The sequence below is a fragment of the Homo sapiens genome, chromosome 17, assembly GCF_000001405.40.
Source record: "Homo sapiens chromosome 17, GRCh38.p14 Primary Assembly".
Classification (NCBI taxonomy): Eukaryota; Metazoa; Chordata; class Mammalia; order Primates; family Hominidae; genus Homo; species Homo sapiens.
Genome location: NC_000017.11, coordinates 44,225,707 through 44,247,933, shown reverse-complemented (window position 1 = coordinate 44,247,933; position 22,227 = coordinate 44,225,707). Strand labels below are relative to the sequence as shown.

The window sequence follows — 22,227 nt, the reverse complement described above, 5'->3', positions numbered from 1 at the left end:
TCCCCTTTGGAGGCTCTGTCCCCTACCCCCAACCACTTCCAGCAATTCTAGGGTGTTGCTGGGCTAGGTGTCCCCCACCCCGGGAGAGGAGGGTTCCAGGACTGGACATCTGCCCTCCCTAGACTTCCAACGAGAGGTCAGTGCAGGGCTGGGCCGCCTGGCTTCCTGCCCTAGATCTATATTTACTGCCTATCCCCAGCTGACCCCTCCCAGGCTAGCCAGGGCAGCTGCCAAAGGGTCAGAGAGCTAACTCTGCCAGGGGAGAGCCGTCCCAGCGTCCACCTCCCACACACAGCAGCTGCAGATCCCCACAGCCCTGGCCCTGTCCCCAGGGCTTGCCAGACCCTCCATTCCCCACGTCCATGTACCCAGAAGTCAGGCTATGAGACAAGCCTGAAGAGAGCTCAGGCCACCGGCATCCCCAGGCCTCTTCCACAGGCTGGCTGTGCAACCTGGGAAAAGCCAGTCCCCTCTCTGGGTCTCCGTTTTCTACTGGGCTAATTCTTCCTGGTAGATCCTTTCCATCGCCTGGAAAAGGATCCTTTCCATCCTTTTCCAGCTCATCATATCTGGACTTAGGGGAATAAATGCTGCCTCAATTTGGGGGACCACTTCCTGCCCCTGCCAAGGGTTAAGCCCCTCTCCATGTTTTTAATTGCAATTCTGAAACACTACCTGGAGCTTGGGCAGCAGGGGAGGCTGGGACCCTGGCCAGAATCCCTAGGGCATTGCTACACAGTGGGGCTCTGGGACCAGCAGCAGTGCCATTTCTAGGGAGCTTGCCAGTAATCTAGGAGCTCAGGCCCTGCCCCAGAGTTGAGAAATAAGAATCTGCATTTTAACCAGATCCCCAGGTGATGTCCAGCACGGGAAGCTGGGCCTTAAGAACAGAGAGCCAGGGAGCAGAGCGAGGGTGTGCAGACTTCAGGTTTCTGCTCATCCATCCCACTCCTCCCACCCTTAGAGAAGATTCGGAGGCCTTCTTGAGGGAGTAGAGGGGGCCTGGGGTAGGGGCGGGGTATCAGGGCAAAGAGAGAGTGGCTGGACCACAGCCTGCCTAATTCCCCTTGTTGCACCTCAGACCCCAAACAGCTTGGGCCAGGAAGGCATTAGGGAAATGTGGGGGACACAGGAATCCCCCCAGACTGACTTCCTGCCTGGCCGGAGGCCTCACACTACCCCAACTTCCTGTACCTCACATGATCCCCCATCCCCCAACACACAGACACACAGACACACACACACACACACACACACACACACACACACAGTCTCTGGGTTTTTTGGGGAGTTTTCTTTTTTTTTTTTTTTTTTTTGAGACGGTGTTTCACTCTTGTGGCCCAGGCTGGAGTGCAGCGGCACGATCTCAGCTCACTGCAACCTCCACCTCCTGGGTTCAAGAGATTCTCCTGCCTCAGCCTCCCGAGTAGCTGGGATTACAGGCTCAAGCCACCACCGTGGTTAATTTTTGTACTTTTATTAGAGACGGGGTTTCACCATGTTGGCCAGGCTGGTCCGGAACTCCTGACCTCACGTGATCCATCCGCCTGGGCCTCCCACGGTGCTGGGATTACAGGCGTGAGGCACCGCACCTGGCCAGTCTCTGGGTTTTAACTCCTGCTTGTCCATTCAACTCTTTTGTGAAAACCATGTCAACGAGAATGAACTACTGTAATGAGGTCAACATTTGTGTGTGAACACAAAGGAACCCCACCCTGATAAGGAAGTAATTCAACAGACTCAAAAAGCTCTGGGCCTGAAGATAATTTAGAGGACTATCTATGTGAGCAGAAAGCTAGAAAGAGCCCAAATACTCAGAAATAGGACAGCAGTTAGTAAATTACAGTAAATTACCCTCCATCAATAGAATGGACCACTAGGCAGACCTTAATAATTATGAGGAAGCTATTGGATCAACTTAATGGCATCACATGACCCTGGGCCTTTGAGGCCAAGGTGTTTGGAATACCAGCTTTGTGATTTGTTTTTTCATTTTGTTTTGTATAGATGAGGTCTCATTATGTTGCCTAGGCTGGTTTTGAATTCCTGGCCTCAAGCAATCATCCCACCTTGGCCTCCCAAAGTGCCAGCTTTGTGATTTATTAGTAGTAGGAGTTGGCTGAATAGCCTGATCTCTGAGGTTAAAGGCATCTGTAAAATAGAGATAATGATACTCACCTCACAATGTTGTTAAGAGGATAAAATGATATCATATATCCAGAAGTCCCGGCCCAGTGCTGCATTTTCGCAGGCAAAAATTCATAGTGATGTGTTCCTCATGGTGACAGCCACATAGAAACATACAGTAGGGTGCACAGGAGTGAGGGTTCGAGGCTTAGACAGAAAGTTAAAATGCCACCATGGTAGAGTTATAGGAGATATCATTTTATTTTTCTCCTTCTTGTGGACTTTAGGTGCAGAGGGTTAAATTAGTCATCCTCCTGAGGTCAGGGCAGGTTATCATCAACTGTTCTTGTTTCCGTTCCTTCTTTTCTCATTTCTTCTTTTCTTCATCCTTTTTTTTTTTTTTTTTTTGAGACGGAGTCTCGCTCTGCTGCCCAGGCTGGAGTGCAGTGGCACGGTCTCAGCTCACTGCAAGCTCCACTTCCCAGATTCATGCCATTCTCCTGCCTCAGCCTCCTGAGTAGCTGGGACTACAGGCACCCGCACCCACACCCGGCTAATTTTTTGTATTTTTAGTAGAGACGGGGTTTTACCGTGTTAGCCAGATGGTCTTGATCTCCTGACCTCGTGATCTGCCCACCTCGGCCTCCCAAAGTGCTGGGATTACAGGCATGAGCCACCGTGCCCAGCCCTCTTTCTTTTTTTTTTTTTTTTTTTTTTTTGAGACAGAGTCTTGCTCTATCACCCAGGCTGGAGTGCAGTGGCATGATCTTGGCTCACTGCAACCTCTGCCTCCTGGGTTTAAGTGATTCTCCTGCCTCAGCCTCCTGAGAAACTGGGATCACAGGCGCCTGCCACCATGCCGGGCTAATTTTTGCATTTTTTAGTACAGATGGGTTTTCACCATGTTGCCTAGGCTGGTCTCGAACTCCTGACTTACCTCAAGTGATCCTCCTGCCTCGTTCTCCCAAAGTGCCTGGATTACAGGAGTGAGCCACCACACCCGGCCTGCTCCTTCTCTTTTGTCTTCATTCCCTACTCCTATGTTCTTCCCCCTCCACAGCAACCATTCTAACTTGTTTAATTTGTTTCTTTTTATATGAATGGGTTCTTGAAAATATGTGTCACTGTTGTTGTTTTAAATTTTATTATGAAAATTTTTATACACAAAAGTAGAGAATGAATCCCAATATACTCATTTGTCAAATTCAGAAATTATCAGCTGGGCATGGTGGCTAATGTCTGTAATCCCAGCACTGTGGGAGGTTGAGGGGGGAGGATCGCTTGAGCCCAGGAGTTCAAGGCTAAGATCATGCCACTGCATGCCAGCCTGGACAACAGAGCCAAACTTATTCTCTTAAAAAATAATACTAAAATAGGTCGGGCGCGGTGGCTCACACTGTAATCCCAGCACTTTGGGAGGCTGAGGCGGGAGGATCACTTGAGGTCAGGAATTCAAGACCAGCCTGGCCAAACTGGCAAAACCCCGTCTCTACTAAAAAACACAAAAATTAGGCGGGGCACGGTGGCTCACGCCTGTAATCCCAGCACTTTGGGAGGCCGAGGCAGGCGGATCACAAGGTCAAGAGATCAAGACCATCTGGCCAGCATGGTGAAACCCCACCTCTACTAAAAATACAAAAATTAGCTGGGTGTGGTGGCACGTGCCTGTAGTCCCAGCTACTCGGGAGGCTGAGGCAGGAGAATCGCTTGAACCCGGGAGTCAGAGGTTGCAGTGAGCCGAGATCGTGCCATTGCACTCTGGCCTGGGCGACAGAGCAAGACTCTGTCTCAAAAAAAAAAAAAAAAAATTAGTTGGGTGTGGTTGCATGTGCCCGTAATCCCAGCTACTCGGGAGGCTGAGGCAGGAGAATCCCTTGAACCCAGGAGGCAAGTGAGCCAAGATGGCACCACTGCACTCCATCCTGGGCGACAGAGTGAGACTCTGTCAAAAATAATAATAATAATAATAATGATAAAATAAAAACAAAAATTATCAAAATTACGCCTTGAAATCTTGCTTAAATCTTTGCCGAAAATAATACATTTGCTTTATCTTCCTCTTTTTATCCTTTGCTGAAATACTTTAAATCCCATACTTGATGCCATTTCACCCCTATATTGTTTTTTTTTTTTTTTTTTTTTTTTTTTGGAGACAGTCTCGCTCTGTTGCCCAGGCTGGAGTACAGTGGCATGATCTTGGCTCACTGCAAGCTCTGCCTCCCAGGTTCACACCATTCTCCTGCCTCAGCCTCCCGAGTAGCTGGGACTACAGGCGCTCACCACCACGCCCAGCTAATTTTTTGTATTTTTAGTAGAGACAGGGTTTCACCGTGTTAGCCAGGATGGTCTCGATCTCCTGACCTTGTGATCCACCCACCTCGGCCTCCCGAAGGGCTGGATTACAGGCATTAGCCACCGCACCCGGCCTCACCCCTATATTCTTTAGCTATGCATGCCCCCATCATTGAACCTAACCACAATGCTATCACACCCAACAAAATTAGCAGTAATACCTTCATATCATCTCATATCTAATCCATAACCAACATATCTAAATTGTCTCAAAATGTACCTTTACACTTGGTTTGTCACGTGTGTGTATTTCTATACATAATCAGCATTATGTTCTAGATCTTGATCTGTTGGTTCCTCTTTTTTTTTTTCGTTTCTTTTTCTTTTCTTTTTTTTTTTTTTTTTTTTTTTTTTTTTTGAGATGGGATCTCACTCTCACCCAGGCTGGAGTACAGTGGCACAATCACAGCTCATCGCAGCCTTCACCTCCCAGGCTCAAGGGATCCTCCCGCCTCAGCCTCCCTGGTAGCTGGGACCACAGGCACGTGCCACCATGCCCAACTAAAATTTTTTTGTAAAGATAGGGTCTTGCCATGTTGCCCAGGCTGCTCTCCAACTCCTTGGCTCAAGCGATCCTCCCACCTTGGCCTCCCAAAGTGCTGGGGATTACAGGCATGAGCCACCACGCCTGGCCTTTCTTTTTTGACAAAGCCACCAGTTCCCCTCCCATGATAACTCACTAATCCATTAATCCATTAATTCATTAATCCATGAATGGATCAGTCCATTCATGAAGGCAGAGCCTTCATGACCCAATCATCTCTTAAGAGCCCTACCTCTTGGCTGGGGCAATGGCTCATGCCTGTAATCCAGAACTTTGGGAGGCCGAGGTGGGCAGATCACCTGAGGTCGGAAGTTCAAGACCAGCCTGACCGACATGGAGAAACCCCGTATCTACTAAAAATACAAAATTAGGCCAGGCGCAGTGGCTCACGCCTGTAATCCCAGCACTTTGGGAGGCCAAGGCAGGCGGATCACGACGTCAGGAGATTGAGACCATCCTGGCTAACACGGTGAAACCCCGTCTCTACTAAAAATACAAAAAATTAGCGGGGCGTGGTGGTAGGGGGCGTGGTGGCAGGCGCCTGTAGTCCCAGCTACTCGGGAGGCTGAGGCAAGAGAATGGCGTGAACCCAGGAGGCAGAGCTTTCAGTGAGCCGAGATCGTGCCACTGCACTACAGCCTGGGTGACAGAGCGAGACTCTGTCTCAAAACAAACAAACAAACAGACAAACAAAATATATATATATAATTAGCTGGGCGTGGTGGTGCATGCCTGTAATCCCAGTTATTCGGGAGGCTGAGGCAGGAGAATCGCTTGAACCGGGGAGGCGGAGGTTGCGGTGAGCCAAGATAGCGCCACTGCACTCCAGCCTGGGCAACAAGAGCGAAACTCCCTCCCCCACCAAAAAAAAAAAAAAAAAAAAAAAAGCCCTACATCTCTCCGGTCGCGGTGGCTCACGCCTGTAATTCCACCACTTTGGGAGGCCGAGGCGGGCGGATCACGAGGTCAGGAACTCGAGACCAGCCTGGTCAATATGGTGAAACCCCGTCTCTACTAAAAATACAAAAATTAGCTGGGTGTGATGGCGGGCACCTGTAGTCCCAGCTACTCAGGAGGCTGAGGCAGGAGAATCACTTGAACCCGGGAGGCAGAGGTTGCAGTGAGCCAAGATCACACCATTGCACTCCAGCCTGGGCAACAAGAGCAAAACTCCTTCTCAAAAAAAAAAAGATCTCATATATGGAGTCCTGTCTCTGTCTTCTCCATTGTGTTTCTTCAGACTATTTCACGGCTCTTTATTATTAAAGTTTTAGAGAATGCCTTAATATCTGGTAGACCAAGTCCTCCTTGTATTAGGATAGAGTAGATTATCTTGTGGCAATAACCCCAAATCTCAGTGGCTTAATCCATGAATCTTTATCTCCCACTTACACAAGATCCACTGCATTTCTCCGTGGCAGCTTCCTTCATGCGGGGTTCATGAATCCAAGCTGATTATATCTGTGGCGAAACTGAAATATATGACTTCCAGGTCACTTTGGCAGAAGAAGAAAGGGCTGGAGGATTCACACAAGCTCTTAAATGCCTGAGCTGGGCAATGACAAAGTCACTGTGCTTACAGCCCATTGACCAGAACTAGTCATGTGGCCCTGCCTAACTTCAAAGAGGCCCCAAAACGGGAAGAAGCCAGGGATATTCAAAGCAGACTAAAATGTCTCCAACCAAACGCCTCTCTTTTTCATAAAGATAATTTAGCTATAATGAGGGCCTTATTCTTACGCTTATTGTAGTCTTCCAAAAAATTCAATTGGAAATTTAATTGAGATTGCTTGAATGTTTTTAATGTTGTTGGCACATCTTTTTTTTTTTTTTTTTTTAACAGTTTCGCTCTGTCGCCCAGACTGGAGTGCAGAGGTGCGATCTCAGCTCACTGCAACCTCCATTTCCCAGGTTCAAGCAATTCTCATGCTTCAGCCTCCCAAGTAGCTGGGACTACAGGCGACCGCCACCATACCCGGCTAATTTTTGTATTTTTTTTTAGTAGAGACAGGCTTTCACCATGTTGGCCAGGCTGGTCACGAACACCTGACCTCAAGTGATCCACCCACCCTGGCCTCCCAAAGTGCTGGGATTACAGGCATGAGCCACCGTGCCTGGTCTTATTTTAATGAGAAAGACCATCTACCCTAACAAGTCCAAAGGCTGAGGCTGGAATGCTACCTCTTCCTTTATCCTTTATGTCCATGAGGGCTCCCACTACTGGTCTCCCAAGCCCTAGGTTTATATTTATTCTTTTTTTTTGAAAGTATCTCACTCTGTCGCTCTCTTGCCCAGGCCGGAATGCAATGGTGTGATCTCGGCTCATTGCAACCTCTACCTCCCACGCTAAAGGGATCCTCCCACTTCAGCCTCCTGAGTAGCTGGGACTATAGGCACACACCACCACGCCTGGCTAAATTTTGTATTTTTTATAGAGATGGAGTCTCACCATGTTGCCCAGGCAGATCTCAAACTCCTGAGCTCAAGCGATCCTCCTACCTCAGCCTCCCAAAGTTCTGGAACTACAGGAGTGAGCCACCAGGCAGGCCTATATTTATTCTTAAAGTTGTGCAGCACTGTCTATTTTCATTTTTGTTGCTTATGCACGTCTAATCTCTCCCAGCTGAGTGGAAGATCCCAGAAGCAGAGACTTTAGGTTGAGCATTTCTTTCCTCCTCCCACCTACACCCGACCCCCCTGTTCCTAGCAGTTTATGGGAAGACTGCACCCTAAGTCCAATGTTGAGGCCAGGGTGGGGTTGGAAACTTGGGAGAGGTCTTGAAGAGTAAGAACCAGGGATAGGAACCCCACTCCTCTTTGTTGGAGAGAGGCAGAGCCTGGAACTTGGAAACTCTCTGTGGTGCCCTGTGGCCATGCAGGGCATCACATCACATGGTCAGGGGACTGCGCTTGCTAACATGCTAATTCAGGTTTATCTTCTTATAAAGCTATCAGTTCCCCTCTAACCATTAATTATGAATGAATTAATCCATTCATGAGGGCGGCCCTCAAGATCCCTATCATCTCTCGCTCTGTCGCCCAGGCTGGAGTGCAGTGGCGCTATCTCAGCTCACTGCAATCTCCGCCTCCTGGGTTCAAGCAATTCTCCTGCTTCAGCCTCCTGAGTAGCTGGGACTACAGGTGCCCACCACCACGCCCAGCTAATTTTTGTATTTTTAGTAGAGACGGGGTTTCACCATATTGGCCAGGCTGGCCTGGAACTCCTGACCTTGTGATCCGCCTGCCTCGGCCTCCCAAAGTGCTGGGATTATAGCCGTGAGCCACCACACCCGGCTCCTATCATCTCTTTTTATTTATTTATTTATTTATTTATTTATTTATTTTTTATTGATCATTCTTGGGTGTTTCTCGCAGAGGGGGATTTGGCAGGGTCATAGGACAATAGTGGAGGGAAGGTCAGCAGATAAACAAGTGAACAAAGGTCTCTGGTTTTCCTAGGCAGAGTGTGTGTGTCCCTGGGTACTTGAGATTAGGGAGTGGTGATGACTCTTAACGAGCATGCTGCCTTCAAGCATCTGTTTAACAAAGCACATCTTGCACCGCCCTTAATCCATTTAACCCTGAGTGGACACAGCACATGTTTCAGAGAGCACAGGGTTGGGGGTAAGGTCATAGATCAACAGGATCCCAAGGCAGAAGAATTTTTCTTAGTACAGAACAAAATGAAAAGTCTCCCATGTCTACTTCTTTCTACACAGACACAGCAACTATCCGATTTCTCAATCTTTTCCCCACCTTTCCCCCTTTTCTATTCCACAAAACCGCCATTGTCATCATGGCCCGTTCTCAATGAGCTGTTGGGTACACCTCCCAGACGGGGTGGTGGCCGGGCAGAGGGGCTCCTCACTTCCCAGTAGGGGCGGCCGGGCAGAGGCGCCCCTCACCTCCCGGACGGGGCGGCTGGCCGGGCAGGGGGCTGACCCCCCACCTCCCTCCCGGACGAGGCGTCTCGCCTGGCGGGGGGCTGACCCCCCCACCTCCCTCCCAGACGGGGCGGCTGGCCGGGCGGGGGGCTGACCCCCCCACCTCCCTCCCGGACGGGGTGGCTGGCCGGGCGGGGGGCTGACCCCCCCACCTCCCTCCCGGACGGGGCGGCTGGCCAGGCGGGGGGGCTGACCCCCCCCCACCTCCCTCCCGGACGTGGCGGCTGGCCGGGCAGAGGGGCTCCTCACTTCCCAGTAGGGGCGGCCGGGCAGAGGCGCCCCTCACCTCCCAGACAGGGCGGCTGGCTGGGCGGGGGGCTGATCCCCTCACCTCCCTCCCGGACGGGGCGGCTGGCCGGGCAGAGGGGCTCCTCGCTTCCCAGTAGGGGCGGCCGGGCAGAGGCGCCCCTCACCTCCCGGACGGGGCGGCTGGCTGGGCGGGGGGCTGACCCCCCCACCTCCCTCCCGGACGGGGCGGCTGGCCGGGCGGGGGGCTGACCCCCCCACCTCCCTCCCGGACGGGGCGGCTGGCCGGGCGGGGGGCTGACTCCCCCACCTCCCTCCCGGATGGGGCGGCTGGCCGAGCAGAGGGGCTCCTCACTTCCCAGTAGGGGCGGCCGGGCAGAGGCGCCCTCACCTCCCGGACGGGGTGGCTGGCCGGGTGGGGGGCTGACCCCCCACCTCCCTCCCGGACGGGGCGGCTGGCCTGGCGGGGGCTGACCCCCACCTCCCTTCCGGACGGGGTGGCTGCCGGGCGGAGACGCTCCTCACTTCCCAGACGGGGTGGCAGCCGGGCGGAGGAGCTCCTCACTTCTCAGATGGGGCAGTTGCCAGGTGGAGGGTCTCCTCACTTCTCAGACGGGGTGGCCGGGCAGAGACGCTCCTCACCTCCCAGACGGGGTCGCGGCCGGGCCGAGGTGCTCCTCACATCCCAGACGGGGCGGCGGGGCAGAGGCGCTCCCCACATCTCAGAGGATGGGCGGCCGGGCAGAGACGCTCCTCACTTCCTAGATGGGATGGTGGCCGGGAAGAGACTCTCCTCACTTTCCAGACTGGGCAGCCAGGCAGAGGGGCTCCTCACATCCCAGACTATGCGCGGCCAGGCAGAGACGCTCCTCACTTCCCAGACGGGGTAGCGGCCGGGCAGAGGCTGCAATCTCGGCACTTTGGGGGGCCAAGGCAGGCGGCTGGGAGGTGGAGGTTGTAGCCGAGATCACGCCACTGCACTCCAGCCTGGGCACCGTTGAGCACTGAGTTAACGAGACTCCGTCTGCAATCCCGGCACCTCGGGAGGCCGAGGCTGGCGGATCACTCGCGGTTAGGAGCTGGAGACCAGCCCGGCCAACACAGCGAAACCCCGTCTCCACCAAAAAAATACGAAAACCCGTCAGGCGTGGCGGCGCGCGCCTGCGATCGCAGGCACTCGGCAGGCTGAGGCAGGAGAATCAGGCAGGGAGGTTGCAGTGAGCCGAGATGGCAGCAGCACAGTCCAGCTTCGGCTCGGCATGAGAGGGAGACCGTGGAAAGAGAGGGAGAGGGAGAGGAGGGAGAGGGAGAGGGAGAGGGAGAGGGGCTCCTATCATCTCTTAAAGGTCTCACCTTTCTCGTTTTTTTTGTTTTTTTTTTTGAGATGGAGTTTGGCTCTTGTCACCCAGGCTGGAGTGCAACAGCATGGTGGCAGGGTCTCGGCTCACCGCAACCTCCACCTTCCGGGTTCAAGCGATTCTCCTACCTCAGCCTCCCAAGTAGCTGGGAATACAGGCGCCCGCCACCATGCCAGTTTAATTCTCGTATTTTTAGTAGAGATACAGTTTCACCATGTTGGCCAGGCTGGCAAACTCCTGACCTCAGGTGATCTGCCCGCCTGGACCTCCCAAAGTGCTGGGATTACAGGCATGAGCCACTGTGCCTGGCCAGCCTCACCTTTCTCTTTTGCTCTCAGTCTTCTAGGCCCCTTCCCTCTTTGGGCCCTATCAAGTTGTTGAGAGTTGTTGGGTGGGGGATGGTGTCACTCCGGGACTGGGTAATAAACCCTTTTCTCCTCTGATCACTGCTAACAAGGTGTGTCATATTTGAGAGGTTTGTTTCTGTCTCTTTGTATATGAGGGGTCTGGGTTCTCAGTTTTGCTGACCATATGGAACAGTTCTAGGGCTGTGTGACAGGATGTGACCCAGGGCTGGCAGGCTGCAGGGACATGAGCTGTGGAAATTGAGAGGGCAGAGAGCAGAATGGGCTGAAGAAGTAGCTTTCAGTATTTATTGAGCACATACTATGTGCTAGGCACAGTTCCAGGTGCTTTCCGTGTTCTTACTCTTTTCCTCCTCACAATAACCCTGTGAGGTCGGCTTTAGCCCCATCTTACTGATAAGGAAACTGAAGCACAGAGAAGATAAGGAACTCACCCTAGCTCATACGGCTTCTAAGAGGCAGGGTAGGATTCAGATGCACGGCTGTTTGACCAAGAGCCTGGTGTCCTTCTACACCTCTATGCCATCAAGCTTATGAAGTCCAGAGACAGAATGCTTGTGGAGAAGAGGAACTAGACTTTGGACACTGGATAGAATTCAAGTTGGGGGCATGCACGGTGGCTCACATCTGTAATCCCAGCACTTTGGGAGGCTGAGGTGGGCGGATCACCTGAGGTCAGGAGTTTGAGACCAGTCTGGCCAACATGGTGAAACCCTGTCTCTACTAAATATACAAAAAATAGCCGGGTGTGGGGGCGTGCACCTGTAATCCCAGCTACTTGGGAGGCTGAGGCAGGACAATTGCTTGAACCCGGGAGGTGGAGGTTGCAGTGAGCCGAGATGAGATGGTGCCAGTGCGCTCCAGCCTGGGCGACAAGAGCAAAACTCCGTCTCAAAAAGAAAGGAATTCAATTTGTTCTCAAGGGTCAGGGAGAATGGAGGGTGGGGTACCTTCCAGGTAGGTAGGGGAGTGGTTTGGCCAAGGGCAGGGAGGTGGGAATGGTGTATCGACAGCACAGGGAAGTCTTGACTGCAGAGGTGAGTCCTTCTAGAAGAGGTTCATATAAGATGGAAAAAGCAAGGTCAAGTTTGAAGAACCCTAACTGCCCAGAAGGGTTTGGACTTGATTCAGGAGGCATTAGGGAGTCTTGCAGGTTCTTGGGCTGGGAAGTGACATGATTAAAGTGATTCACCTGGAAGTGAATTCATACAGGAGGAATTCGCTGTAAGGAGGCAAACTGGGAATCTGTGCATGTCAGTGAGTCAGTAGCAGAGGCGGGCTGACATAGCCCATGCTATCATAGGACCTGCAGTCAGCATGGGGCCCGACGTTCAGCAAGAGTGAGCACTGGCTGGCCATGGTGCTCACGCCTGTAATCCCAGCACCTTGGGAGGGGCTGAGGTGGGCAGATGCCTTGAGCCCAGGAGTTTGAGACCAGCCTGGGCAATGTGGCAAAACCCTGTCTCAAAAAAAAAAAAAAATTGTGGCCAGGCGTGGTGGCAAGCGCCTATAGTCTCAGTATTCCAGAGGCTGCAGTGGGAGGATCACTTGAGCCCAGGAGGTCAAGGCTTCAGTGAGCCGTGATCGCGCCACTGCACTCCAGCCTGGGTGACAGAGTGAGACCTTGTCTCAAAAACAAAACAAAAGAAAACACTAGTATTGTGCAGGGAGTGGCAGGAGCAGAGGGAGCTGGAGTAAGGCAGGGCTTCTTGGAGGGAGAGACATTTGATCTGACTCCTGAGGGACAAGCAGTAACTGTCCCAGTGATGAGAGAGGTGGAATATCTTGAAGGAATAGAGTCTATGAAATGGAATATATCTGAGAAGTAGCCTGAAGAGAAATGGGTGAAATTTGCTCAGCAAAGTGAAGTGACATCATGGAAAGCCTGCTGGGTTGGCAGACCACATGGTGACCTCAGAAGGTTTTCTTTCCCATGTACCTGGGCCCAGAGCCAGCTGACAGGAGGTAAGGAAGGAAGGGCTGGGTGAGGAAGCAGAAGCAGGAGGTGTGGGTTATGGCCTGAGGGCCCAGCAGGAGTGCTCAGCTGACTTTTTCCCAAGATGGACCAGAAAATGCTTTTCAGGCTGGGGGACACATGCACACTCACACACATCAAATCATCTCTCTACTTCCATTAAAACATATCTTTGTATTTTCAGATTTCAAAAATAATACATGTATAAAACACTTAAATTACAGAATGATTTAACATACAGAATAAAAATCTCCAGTAATTTGGCCAAGTGTGGTGGCGCATGCCTGTAATCCCAGCAGTTTGGGAGGCCGAGGCAGGAGGATCACTTGAGGTCAGGAGTTCAAGACCAGCCTGGGCAACATGGTGAGACTTTGTGTCTACTAAAAATTTAAAAATTAGCCAGGTGTGGTGGTGTTCACCTGTAGTCCCAGCTACTCGAGAGGCTAAGGTGGGAGGATCACTTGAGCCCAGGACTTTGAGGCTGCAGTGAGCTATGATGGTACCACTGCTCTCCAGCAGAGTAAGACAGAGTGGGAGGCTGTTTCTAAAAACACAAAACAAAAAACAAAAAAACCTCCAGTAATGACTGTTAATAATTTAGAGTATATTCCTCCAGATTTATTATATGTGAACACTAATTTACATATATATTTTTCCTTTTTTTTTTTTTTTTTTGAGACAGGGTCTCGCTCTGTCTCCCAGGCTGGAGTGCAGTGGCACGATCTTGGCTCACTGCAACCTCCACCTCCTGGGCTCAAGTGATTTTCCCACCTCAGCCTCCCTAGTAGCTGGGACTACAGGCATGTTTCAGTACATCCAGCTAATTTTTTGTATTTTTGGTAGAGGTAGGGTTTCATCATGTTGCCCAGGCTGGTCTCGAACTCTTGGACTCAAGTGATTTCACCCATCTCAGGCTCCCAAAGTGCTGGGATTACAGGCGTGAGCCACTGCGCCAAGCCTACCTTACATATATTTTAAAATAGAGCATGTCTATATATGTGTGTGCATTTTATTTTTTTTAAATTTTAGACAGCGTCCCGCTCTGTCGCCTAGGCTGGAGTACAGTGGCTCAATCATGGCTCACTGCAGCCTCAACCCCCCAGGCTCCAGTAATCCTCCTACCTCAGCCTCTGGAGTAGCTAGGACGACAGGCACCCACCACCACACCCAGCCAATTAAAAAATAAAATTTTGTAGAGACAAGGTCTTCCTATGTTGCGTAGGCTGGTCTCAAACTCCTGGGCCCAAGCGATCCTCCCACCTCGACCTCCCAGAGTGCTGGGATTATAGGCATGAGTCATTCCATCTGGCCCTTATATAATTTTTTAAACAAAACTTCAAAATACATGAAGTTAAAACTAATGGAACTGAAAGGAGAAACAGATAAATCTACCATTATGGCAGGAACTACCACTACTCTCTCAATAATTGATAGAACTAGTGGACAGAAAATCATGAAGGATATAGAACACCTAAATAGCACCAGCAACCAACTTGACCTAATTTATCTTTAGGGTACACTCCACCCAACTACAGCAGAATACATATTCTTTTCAAATGCCCATGGATCATTCACCTTAAAATAGACAACATTCTGGGCCACAAACACAAACCTTAACAAATTTAAAGGAATGGAAATCACAGAAAACATAGCCTATGTTCATAACATTATTAAATTATAAATCAATAACAGAAAGACATCTAGCAAATCCCTAAATATTTGTTTCTGTTTGTTTTGAGATAGAGTCTCTCTCTGTCGCCCAGGCTGGAGTACAGTGGCGCGATCTCGGCTCACTGCAACCTCCGCCTCCCGGGTTCAAGCAATTCTCCTGCCTCAGCCTCCCAAGTAGCTGGGATTACAGGTGTGTGCCACTATGACCAGCTAATTTTTGTATTTTTAATAGAGACAACGGGGTTTTACCATGTTGGCCAGGCTGCTCTCAAACTCCTGACCTCAAATGATCTGCTCGCCTTGGCCTCCCAAAGTGTTGGGATTACAGGCATGAGCCACAGCGCCAGGCCACAAATCCCTAAGTATTTGGAAAGTAAAACAATGCACTTCTAAATAACCCATAGACCAAAGCTAAAGTCATAAGTGAAATTGAGAAATATTTTGAACTAAAGGAGGATGAAAACATATCAAAATTTGTGAGATGCAATGAAGTAGTGCTTAGGGGGAAACAGAGCATTAAATACCTAGATTAAAAAATAAGAGGCCAGGCGAGCAGGCTCACGCCTGTAATCTCAGCACTTTGGGAGGCTAAGGCAGGCGGATCATTTGAGGTCAACAGAGTGAGACTCCATCTCAAAAAAAAAAAAAAAAAAAGAAAGAAAGAAAGAAAGAAAGAAAAAGAAAATAAGAAATATCTCAAATCAATAACCTAAACTCCTGCTATAAGAAACTAGAAAAAATGAGCAAATTAAACCCAAAGCAGACAAAAGGAAGGAAATAATAAAGATAGAATAGAAATCAATGAAATTGGCCAGGCTTGGTGGCTCAGGTCTGTAATCCCAGCACTTTGGGAGGCCAAGACAGGTGGGTCACTTGAGGTCAGGAGTTCGAGACCAGCCCGGCCAACATGGTGAAACCCCATCTCTAATAAAAATACAAAAATTAGCCGGGCATGGTGGTGCACACCTATCGTCCTGGCTACTCGGGAGGCTGAGATGGCACAGCCGCTTGAACCTGAGAGACAGAGTTTGCAGTGAGCCGAGATAGCACCACTGCACTCCAGCCTGGGTAACTGAGTGAGTCACTCAAAAAAAAAAAAAAAAATCAATGAAATTAAGAACAAACAGTAGAGGAAATCAATGAAACGAAAAGCTAGTTCTCTGAAAAAAAATGAGTAAAATTTATAAACCTTTGGTCAGACTGACCAAGAAAAACAGAGAAGAGACACAAATTATAAATAACAGAAATGGAAGACATCACTACAGACCCTAAAAACATTAAAAGAATAACAAAGGAATACTACAAACATAAATACCCATACATTTGACAACTTAAACGAAATGGTAAAATTCCTATTGGCAGGGCGCGGTGGCTCACTCCTGTAATCCCAGCACTTTGGGAGGCTGAGGCAGGCGGATCGCTTGAGGCCAGGAGTTTGAGACCAGCCTGGCCAACATGGTGAGACCCTGTTTCTACTAAAACTACAAAAATTAGCTGGCCGTGGTGGTGCGCCCAGCTACTTGGGAGGCTGAGGCAGGAGAATTGCTTGAGCCTGGGAGGCAGAGGTTGCAATGAGCTGAGATCGCGCTACTACACTCCAGCCTGGGCAACAAGAGCAAAACTCCACCTCAAAAAATAATAATAATAATTAATTAAATAAATTTAAAAGTAAAATAAAGTTCCTATACGTCAGGATAAAAAAAATCCTATCATCTGTGCTGTGTGGGAATTTTTTTTCTTTTTTCTTTTCTTTTGAGACAGGGTCTCACTCTGTCATCCACGCTGGAGTGCAGTGGAGCAATCATGGCTCACTGCAGCCTCAACCTCCTGGGTTCCAGTGATCCTCCTGCCTCAGCCTCCTGAGTAGCTGGGATCACAGGCATGAGGGCACTATACCCGGCTAATTTTTGTATTTTTTTGTAGAGAGAGGGTCTTGCTATGTTGCCCAGACTGGTCTCAAACTCCTGGGCTCAAGCAATCCCGTTGCTTTGGCCTTCCAAAGTGCTGGGATTATAGGCATGCGCTACCACACCCAACCCATATATAGTTTTTTAAACAGAGTGAAAGACACAAACAGCCAAATTCACTCAAAACGAAATAGAGGATTTCAACTGGGCAAGGTGGCTCACGCCTATAATCCCAACACTTTGGAGTTGGGATTATAAGCCCAGGGGTTCAAGATCAGCCTGGGCAACATAGCAAGACTTCATCTCTTAAAAAAAAAAAAAAAAAAAACAGGAAGAAGAGTTTCCAGTCTAACATGTAAAGAGCTTGGAAATCACCTCTACATTCAAACAAGTAAAAAGCTGAACAAACTGAAAAATCAACCCTTCTTAGATCCATCAGAGAAGTGGGGTCACACAGCAAATTGCTATGCCCTAAATTGGTGAGACAGTCAGATAAAATCACAATTTCTTTTTTTCTTCGACAGGCTCTTGCTCTGTCTGGCGTACAGTGGCAAAATGATAGCTCACTGCAGCCTCAAATACCTGGGCTCAAGCGATTCTTCCATCTCAGCCTCTCTAATAGTTGGGACTACAAGCACGAGCCACCACACCCAGCTAATTTTTCAATTTTTGGTAGAGATGGGGTCTCCCTATGTTGTCCAGGCTGGTCTTGAACTACTGGGCTCAAGCAATACTCCTGCCTCAGCCTCCCAAAGTGCTGGGATTACAGGCATAAGCCACCACGCCCAGCCTGAGAATCACAGTTGATGGGAGCAGAAACTCACAAGCAGTAACCTCCACAGGAACCAGTGCCAGGGTAGAAAAACCTGAAGTGTAATTGACAAATTGCTGTAGGCTCAATGTGAGCAACTCAGAAAGTTAAAAACTGCAGGGGGAGAGGGTCAGGGGTTAGTGAGGCGGGAAGTGAGCGTAATAAAGTTTCTCTAGGGAGGCAGAGCCAGGGGAGAAAGTTGGAGTGGTGACCTAAGCAGGCAGTGGTGTGATCTGGAATCAAATCGGCCTGTGGTGCGGTGCGGAGACTCCATGAGGCCCTGCTTTGCTCTTCCTCTTGGCCCTGCTCTATGTCCGCTGGGACCACTTCCTTCCTGTCCTCACTTTGCTAGCTCCAATCCACAGCTGTTGTAGCAGAGGATGCTAATGGCCCAGGCTCACTTCCATGGGCTATATGGAGGTCCTGCAATCAATGCGTGCCCTCGACTTCAACACCCAACTCAGGTCACGCAGGGAGGCAGGCCATCAGTCTGGTGTGTGATGCTGTGCTGGGTGTGAAGGGGGTGACAAGGAAGAGAAAGCCCTGTAGCTGCCTGCTCAGCTCTATCCTGGGAAGGAGTAACCTGAAATTTGCTGGAATGCCAATCACTCTCACCGTCTCCACCAGCAGCCTCAACCTCATGGCCGCAGACTGCAAACAGGACACAGCTGAGGATGTTGCCTACGTTGCCAAAGACCCTGTGAATCAGAGAGCCTGCCACATTCTGGAGTGTCCCAAAGGCCCTCCCAGGATGTCATTAGCACCATTGGCCAGGCCTTCGAGTTGTGCTTCAAACAATACCTCACGAACCCACCCCAACTGCTCACCCCCAAGACAGGATGGCTGGCTTTGATGGATCAGCTTGGGATGAGGAGGAGGAAGAGCCACCTGACCATTAGTACTATAATGACGTCCCTGGGAAGGAACCTTCTCTTGGGGAGTTGGTAGACATGAGGCTTCGGGAAGGAGCCACTTCAGAGGCTGCTTGACCCACTCCACCCAGTGTCTGGACCCCCAGCCACTTGGGAGCTACACTGCCTGTGGGATAGCCTGCTGGGGGAGATCCAGAAGTCCGCAAACAGATGCCACCTCCACCACCCTGTCCAGCAGGCAGAGAGCTCTTCAATGATCCCTATATCAACGTCCAGAACCTAGACAAGGCCCGGCAAGCAGAAGGTGGTGCTAGGCCCCCCCATCCTGCCATCAATCGCAGTGCACCCTGGGACCTCTTTGACATGAAGCCCTTTAAAGATGCTCTTTGGGTGCCTCCCCCTCCCCAGTGGTTTCCATGGCTGAGCAGCTCCAAGGGGAGCCCTGGTTCCACGGGAAGCTGAGCCAGCGAGAGGCTGAGGCATTGCTGCAGCTCCATGGCGACTTCCTGGTGCGGGAGAGCATGACCAAGGCCAGTATGTGCTTACTGGCTTGCAGAGTGGGCTGCCTAAGCACCTGCTATTGGTGGACCCTGAAGGACTGGTTTGGACAAAGGATCACTGCTTTGAGAGTGTCAATCCCAGCACTTTGGGAGACCAAGCCAGGCAGATCACAAGGTCAGGAGATCGAGACCATCCTGGCTAATACGGTGAAACCCGGTCTCTACTAAAAATACAAAAAATTAGCTGGGCGTGGTGGCAGGCGCCCGTAGTCCCTACTCAGGAGGCTGAGGCAGGAGAATAGTGTGAACCCAGGAGGCGGAGCTTGCAGTGAGCCGAGATCACGCCACTGTACTCCAGCCTGGGCAACAGAGCGAGACTCCGTCTCAAAAAAAAAAAGAGAGTGTCAGTCACCTCATCAGCTACCACATGGACAATCACTGGCCTATCATCTCTGTGGGCAGTGAACTGTATCTACAGCAACCTGTGAAGTGGAAACTGTGATCTGCCCCAGCGCCCTCTTCCAGAAGATTCCACCCTATTCCCTAACTCTCGGGACCTCATTTGGGAGTGTTCTGTGGGTTTGGCCTTGTGTCAGAGCTGAGGGTAGTGTGGACACTGGGTTTAGTATCCAGCTAAGTGAGAGAGTTTGAGTCAGAAGCCTGGGGGAGAATCTTGCTTCTCCCCAAACATTAATCACCCGAAGTATTAATGGACAGAGTGGCCCCTTACCTACGCCTTTCCTGTGCCAACCCGATGTCCCTTCCCCAAGAAGGTGAGTGCTTGTCATGGAAAATGTCCTGTGGTGATAGGCCCAGTGGAGCAGTCACCCTTCTGGGCAAGGGGGAACAAATCACACCTCTGAGCTTCAGGGTACCCCAGACACCTCTCCACAACCCCCACCCCATGTTTAAACTTTGTGCCTTTGACCACCTCCTAGGTCTGAAGATATTTTATGCAAAGAGTTCGTGCCAGATGTGGTGGCTCACACCTGTAATCCCAGCACTTTGGGAGGCCGAGGCGGATGGATCACTTGAGGTCAGGAGTTCAAGACCAGTCTGGCCAACATGGCGAAAACCCGTCTCTACTAAAAGTACAAAATTAGCTGGGTGTAGTGGCATGCACCTATAATCCTAGTTACTAAGGAGGCTGAGGCAGGAGAATCGCTTGAACCCGGGAGGTGGAGGTTGCAGTGAGCCAAGATTGTACCACTACACTCCCGCCTGGACGACAGAGTGAGATTCCATCTCAAAAAAAAAAAAAAAAAGAGTTCATGGGTCCCTGAATTCAATGACAGTGATGCCGACACCTTCTTGGCTTCTGAGACCCTGTTTTCTCCTTGCTCAGCACCCTCTCTGGTTTGGGTTGGGAGAATAGAGACAAGAATGGCATATATCCCCTCTCCCTGGGGATATGCAACCCTTAGAGATTGTCCCAGAGCCCCCCTCCCAGCCAGGGGGAAGATGGACCTGTCCCTTGCTCAGTGCCTCCTGGCCAGAGCCCCTCAATCCATTTCATAAACCCTGCCCTCCCATGATGCATGCCTATTGTACTCTATAGCCAAAATGTAGCCCTTCCTCCTGGAGCCTCTGCCCTGCCTCCCTTTCTGGGAGAGGAGGGGTGGGGGGTGACTGAATTTGGGCTTCGTGTACAGTAAACTCTCCCAGGTGGATTTTGTGGAGGTGGGAAAAGGGGCATTGAGACTCTAAAGCAGTAGACCATCCCTGAATACTATCTGCAGAGTTGGAACTGCATTCTTTTAAAATTTTATATGCATATATTTTAGGGATATAGACTTACTTTCCTAATTTTGTTTTCCATGGCTTATTCTTGAGCACAAAATGATAATCAATTATTAAATTTATACATCACCTTTTTGAATTTTCCAAGACCTTTTGCAGCTCTTGGCATTTTCGTTGCCCAGGCCTGTGAGGTAACTGGGATCAGCAGCATTATTATTTATACCAGAGACCTGAGGCAGATGAAACTGATTTCCACCTAGGACTAGAAAAACTTGGGCCTCTTACCACGAGACTGGGAGGCAGAAGTTTGCCCAAATGCATGTTAGTTTCACAAAGGGGAAATGCAAAACCTGCAGTTCCTGAGTACCTTTTACAGGCGCAGCCCTGCCTAGGCCCGGAGTGGACACACGACAGCAAGCCGGGCTTTCTCTTTAGGCCTTGTGGATAAGAGAGAGTGGGCTGTTTCCATCCTGGCCTCCTTTTGTCGTTGTTGGGATGTTTCCCCGGGTCTCACTTGTAGCAAAAGGAAAACTCTTCATTAAAGTCCGTATTTCTTCTAAACATAAAAAATAAATAAATAAAAAATAAAAATTGCAGGTGGACTAGGTCAGATGGGGCCCTATATTTTTGTGAGTTTTACCTCTAAGAGCTCTACTCAATTGCCCTTTCCTTCATATCCTGCCATCCCCTCACACCATGTACCCCAAATCACCACACTCTATTGTTTTCTTTTTTTTTTTTTTTTTTGAGAAGAGTCTTGCTCTGTCACCCAGGCTAGAGTACAGTGGTGGGATCTCCGCTCACTGCAAGCTCCGCCTCCCAGGTTCAAGTGATTCTCTTGCCTCAGCCTGCCGAGTAACTGAGATTACAGGTGCTTGCCACCACGCCAGGCTAATTTTTGTATTTTTAGTACAGATAGGGTTTCACCATGTTGGCCAGGCTGATCTCGAACTCCTGATCTCAGGTGATCCACCCACCTCGGCCTCCCAAAGTGCTGGGATTACAGGCGTGAACCACCGCGCCAGCCTAGGAAATGTTCTATATCTCTAGTATCCAATAATGTAGCCACTAGACACATAGGGCCATGGATATATGGTAAATGTGACTGAGGAACTGAATTTTCCATTTTATTTAATTTTAATTAATTTGAACTTATGGCCAGGTGCGGTGGCTCACACCTGTAATCCTAGCAGTTTGGGAGATGGAGGCAGCATTTTGGGAGGCCAAGGTAGGTAGATCATTTGAGGTCAGGAGTTCAAGACCAGCCTGGGCAACATGGTGAAACCCAGTCTCTACTAAAAATACAAAAAGGTGGCCAGGAGTAGTGGTGCAGGCCTGTAGTCCCAGCTACTTGGGAGGCTGAGGCACGAGAAGCGCTTGAGCCTGGGAGGCAGAGGTTGCAGTGAGCCGAGTTCACACCACTGTACTCCAGCTTGGGTGACAGAGCAAGACTCTGTCTCAAGAAAAAAACAAGACTGGGCACAGTGGCTCAAGCCTGTAATCCCAGCACTTTGAGAGGCTGAGGTGGGCGGATCACCTGAGGTCGGGAGTTCGAGACCAGCCTGACCAACATGGAGAAACCCCGTCTCTACTAAAAATACAAAATTAGCCAAGTGTGGTGGCTCATGCCTGTAATCCCAGCTACTCGGGAGGCTGAGGCGGAAATCACTTGAACCCGGGAGGCAGAGGTTGCAGTGAGCCGAGATCGTGCCATTACACTCCAGCCTGGGCAACAAGAGTGAAACTCCGTCTCAAAAAAACAAAACAAAAAACAAAAAAAAAAACAGGAGTTCAAGAGTTCAAGACCAGCTAGGG

At 50.2% G+C, this 22,227-nt stretch overlaps 1 pseudogene, besides 3 other annotated features; it reads left to right on the top strand.

The window, feature by feature from the left end:
• Nucleotides 9,552–10,183: an enhancer, noted in NCBI's record as "H3K27ac-H3K4me1 hESC enhancer chr17:42315119-42315750 (GRCh37/hg19 assembly coordinates)". NCBI's record gives its function as "activates a minimal SCP1, AML or CMV promoter by ChIP-STARR-seq in primed H9 embryonic stem cells {active_cell/tissue: H9 hESC(primed)}" and the evidence as "EXISTENCE:reporter gene assay evidence [ECO:0000049][PMID:30033119]".
• Nucleotides 12,087–12,287: a silencer, noted in NCBI's record as "peak2858 fragment used in MPRA reporter construct". NCBI's record gives its function as "represses an SCP1 promoter by STARR-seq MPRAs in K562 erythroleukemia cells {active_cell/tissue: K562}" and the evidence as "EXISTENCE:reporter gene assay evidence [ECO:0000049][PMID:32103011]".
• Nucleotides 12,587–12,787: a silencer, noted in NCBI's record as "peak2857 fragment used in MPRA reporter construct". NCBI's record gives its function as "represses an SCP1 promoter by STARR-seq MPRAs in K562 erythroleukemia cells {active_cell/tissue: K562}" and the evidence as "EXISTENCE:reporter gene assay evidence [ECO:0000049][PMID:32103011]".
• On the top strand, nucleotides 17,862–20,971 carry SHC1P2 (SHC adaptor protein 1 pseudogene 2; annotated as a pseudogene).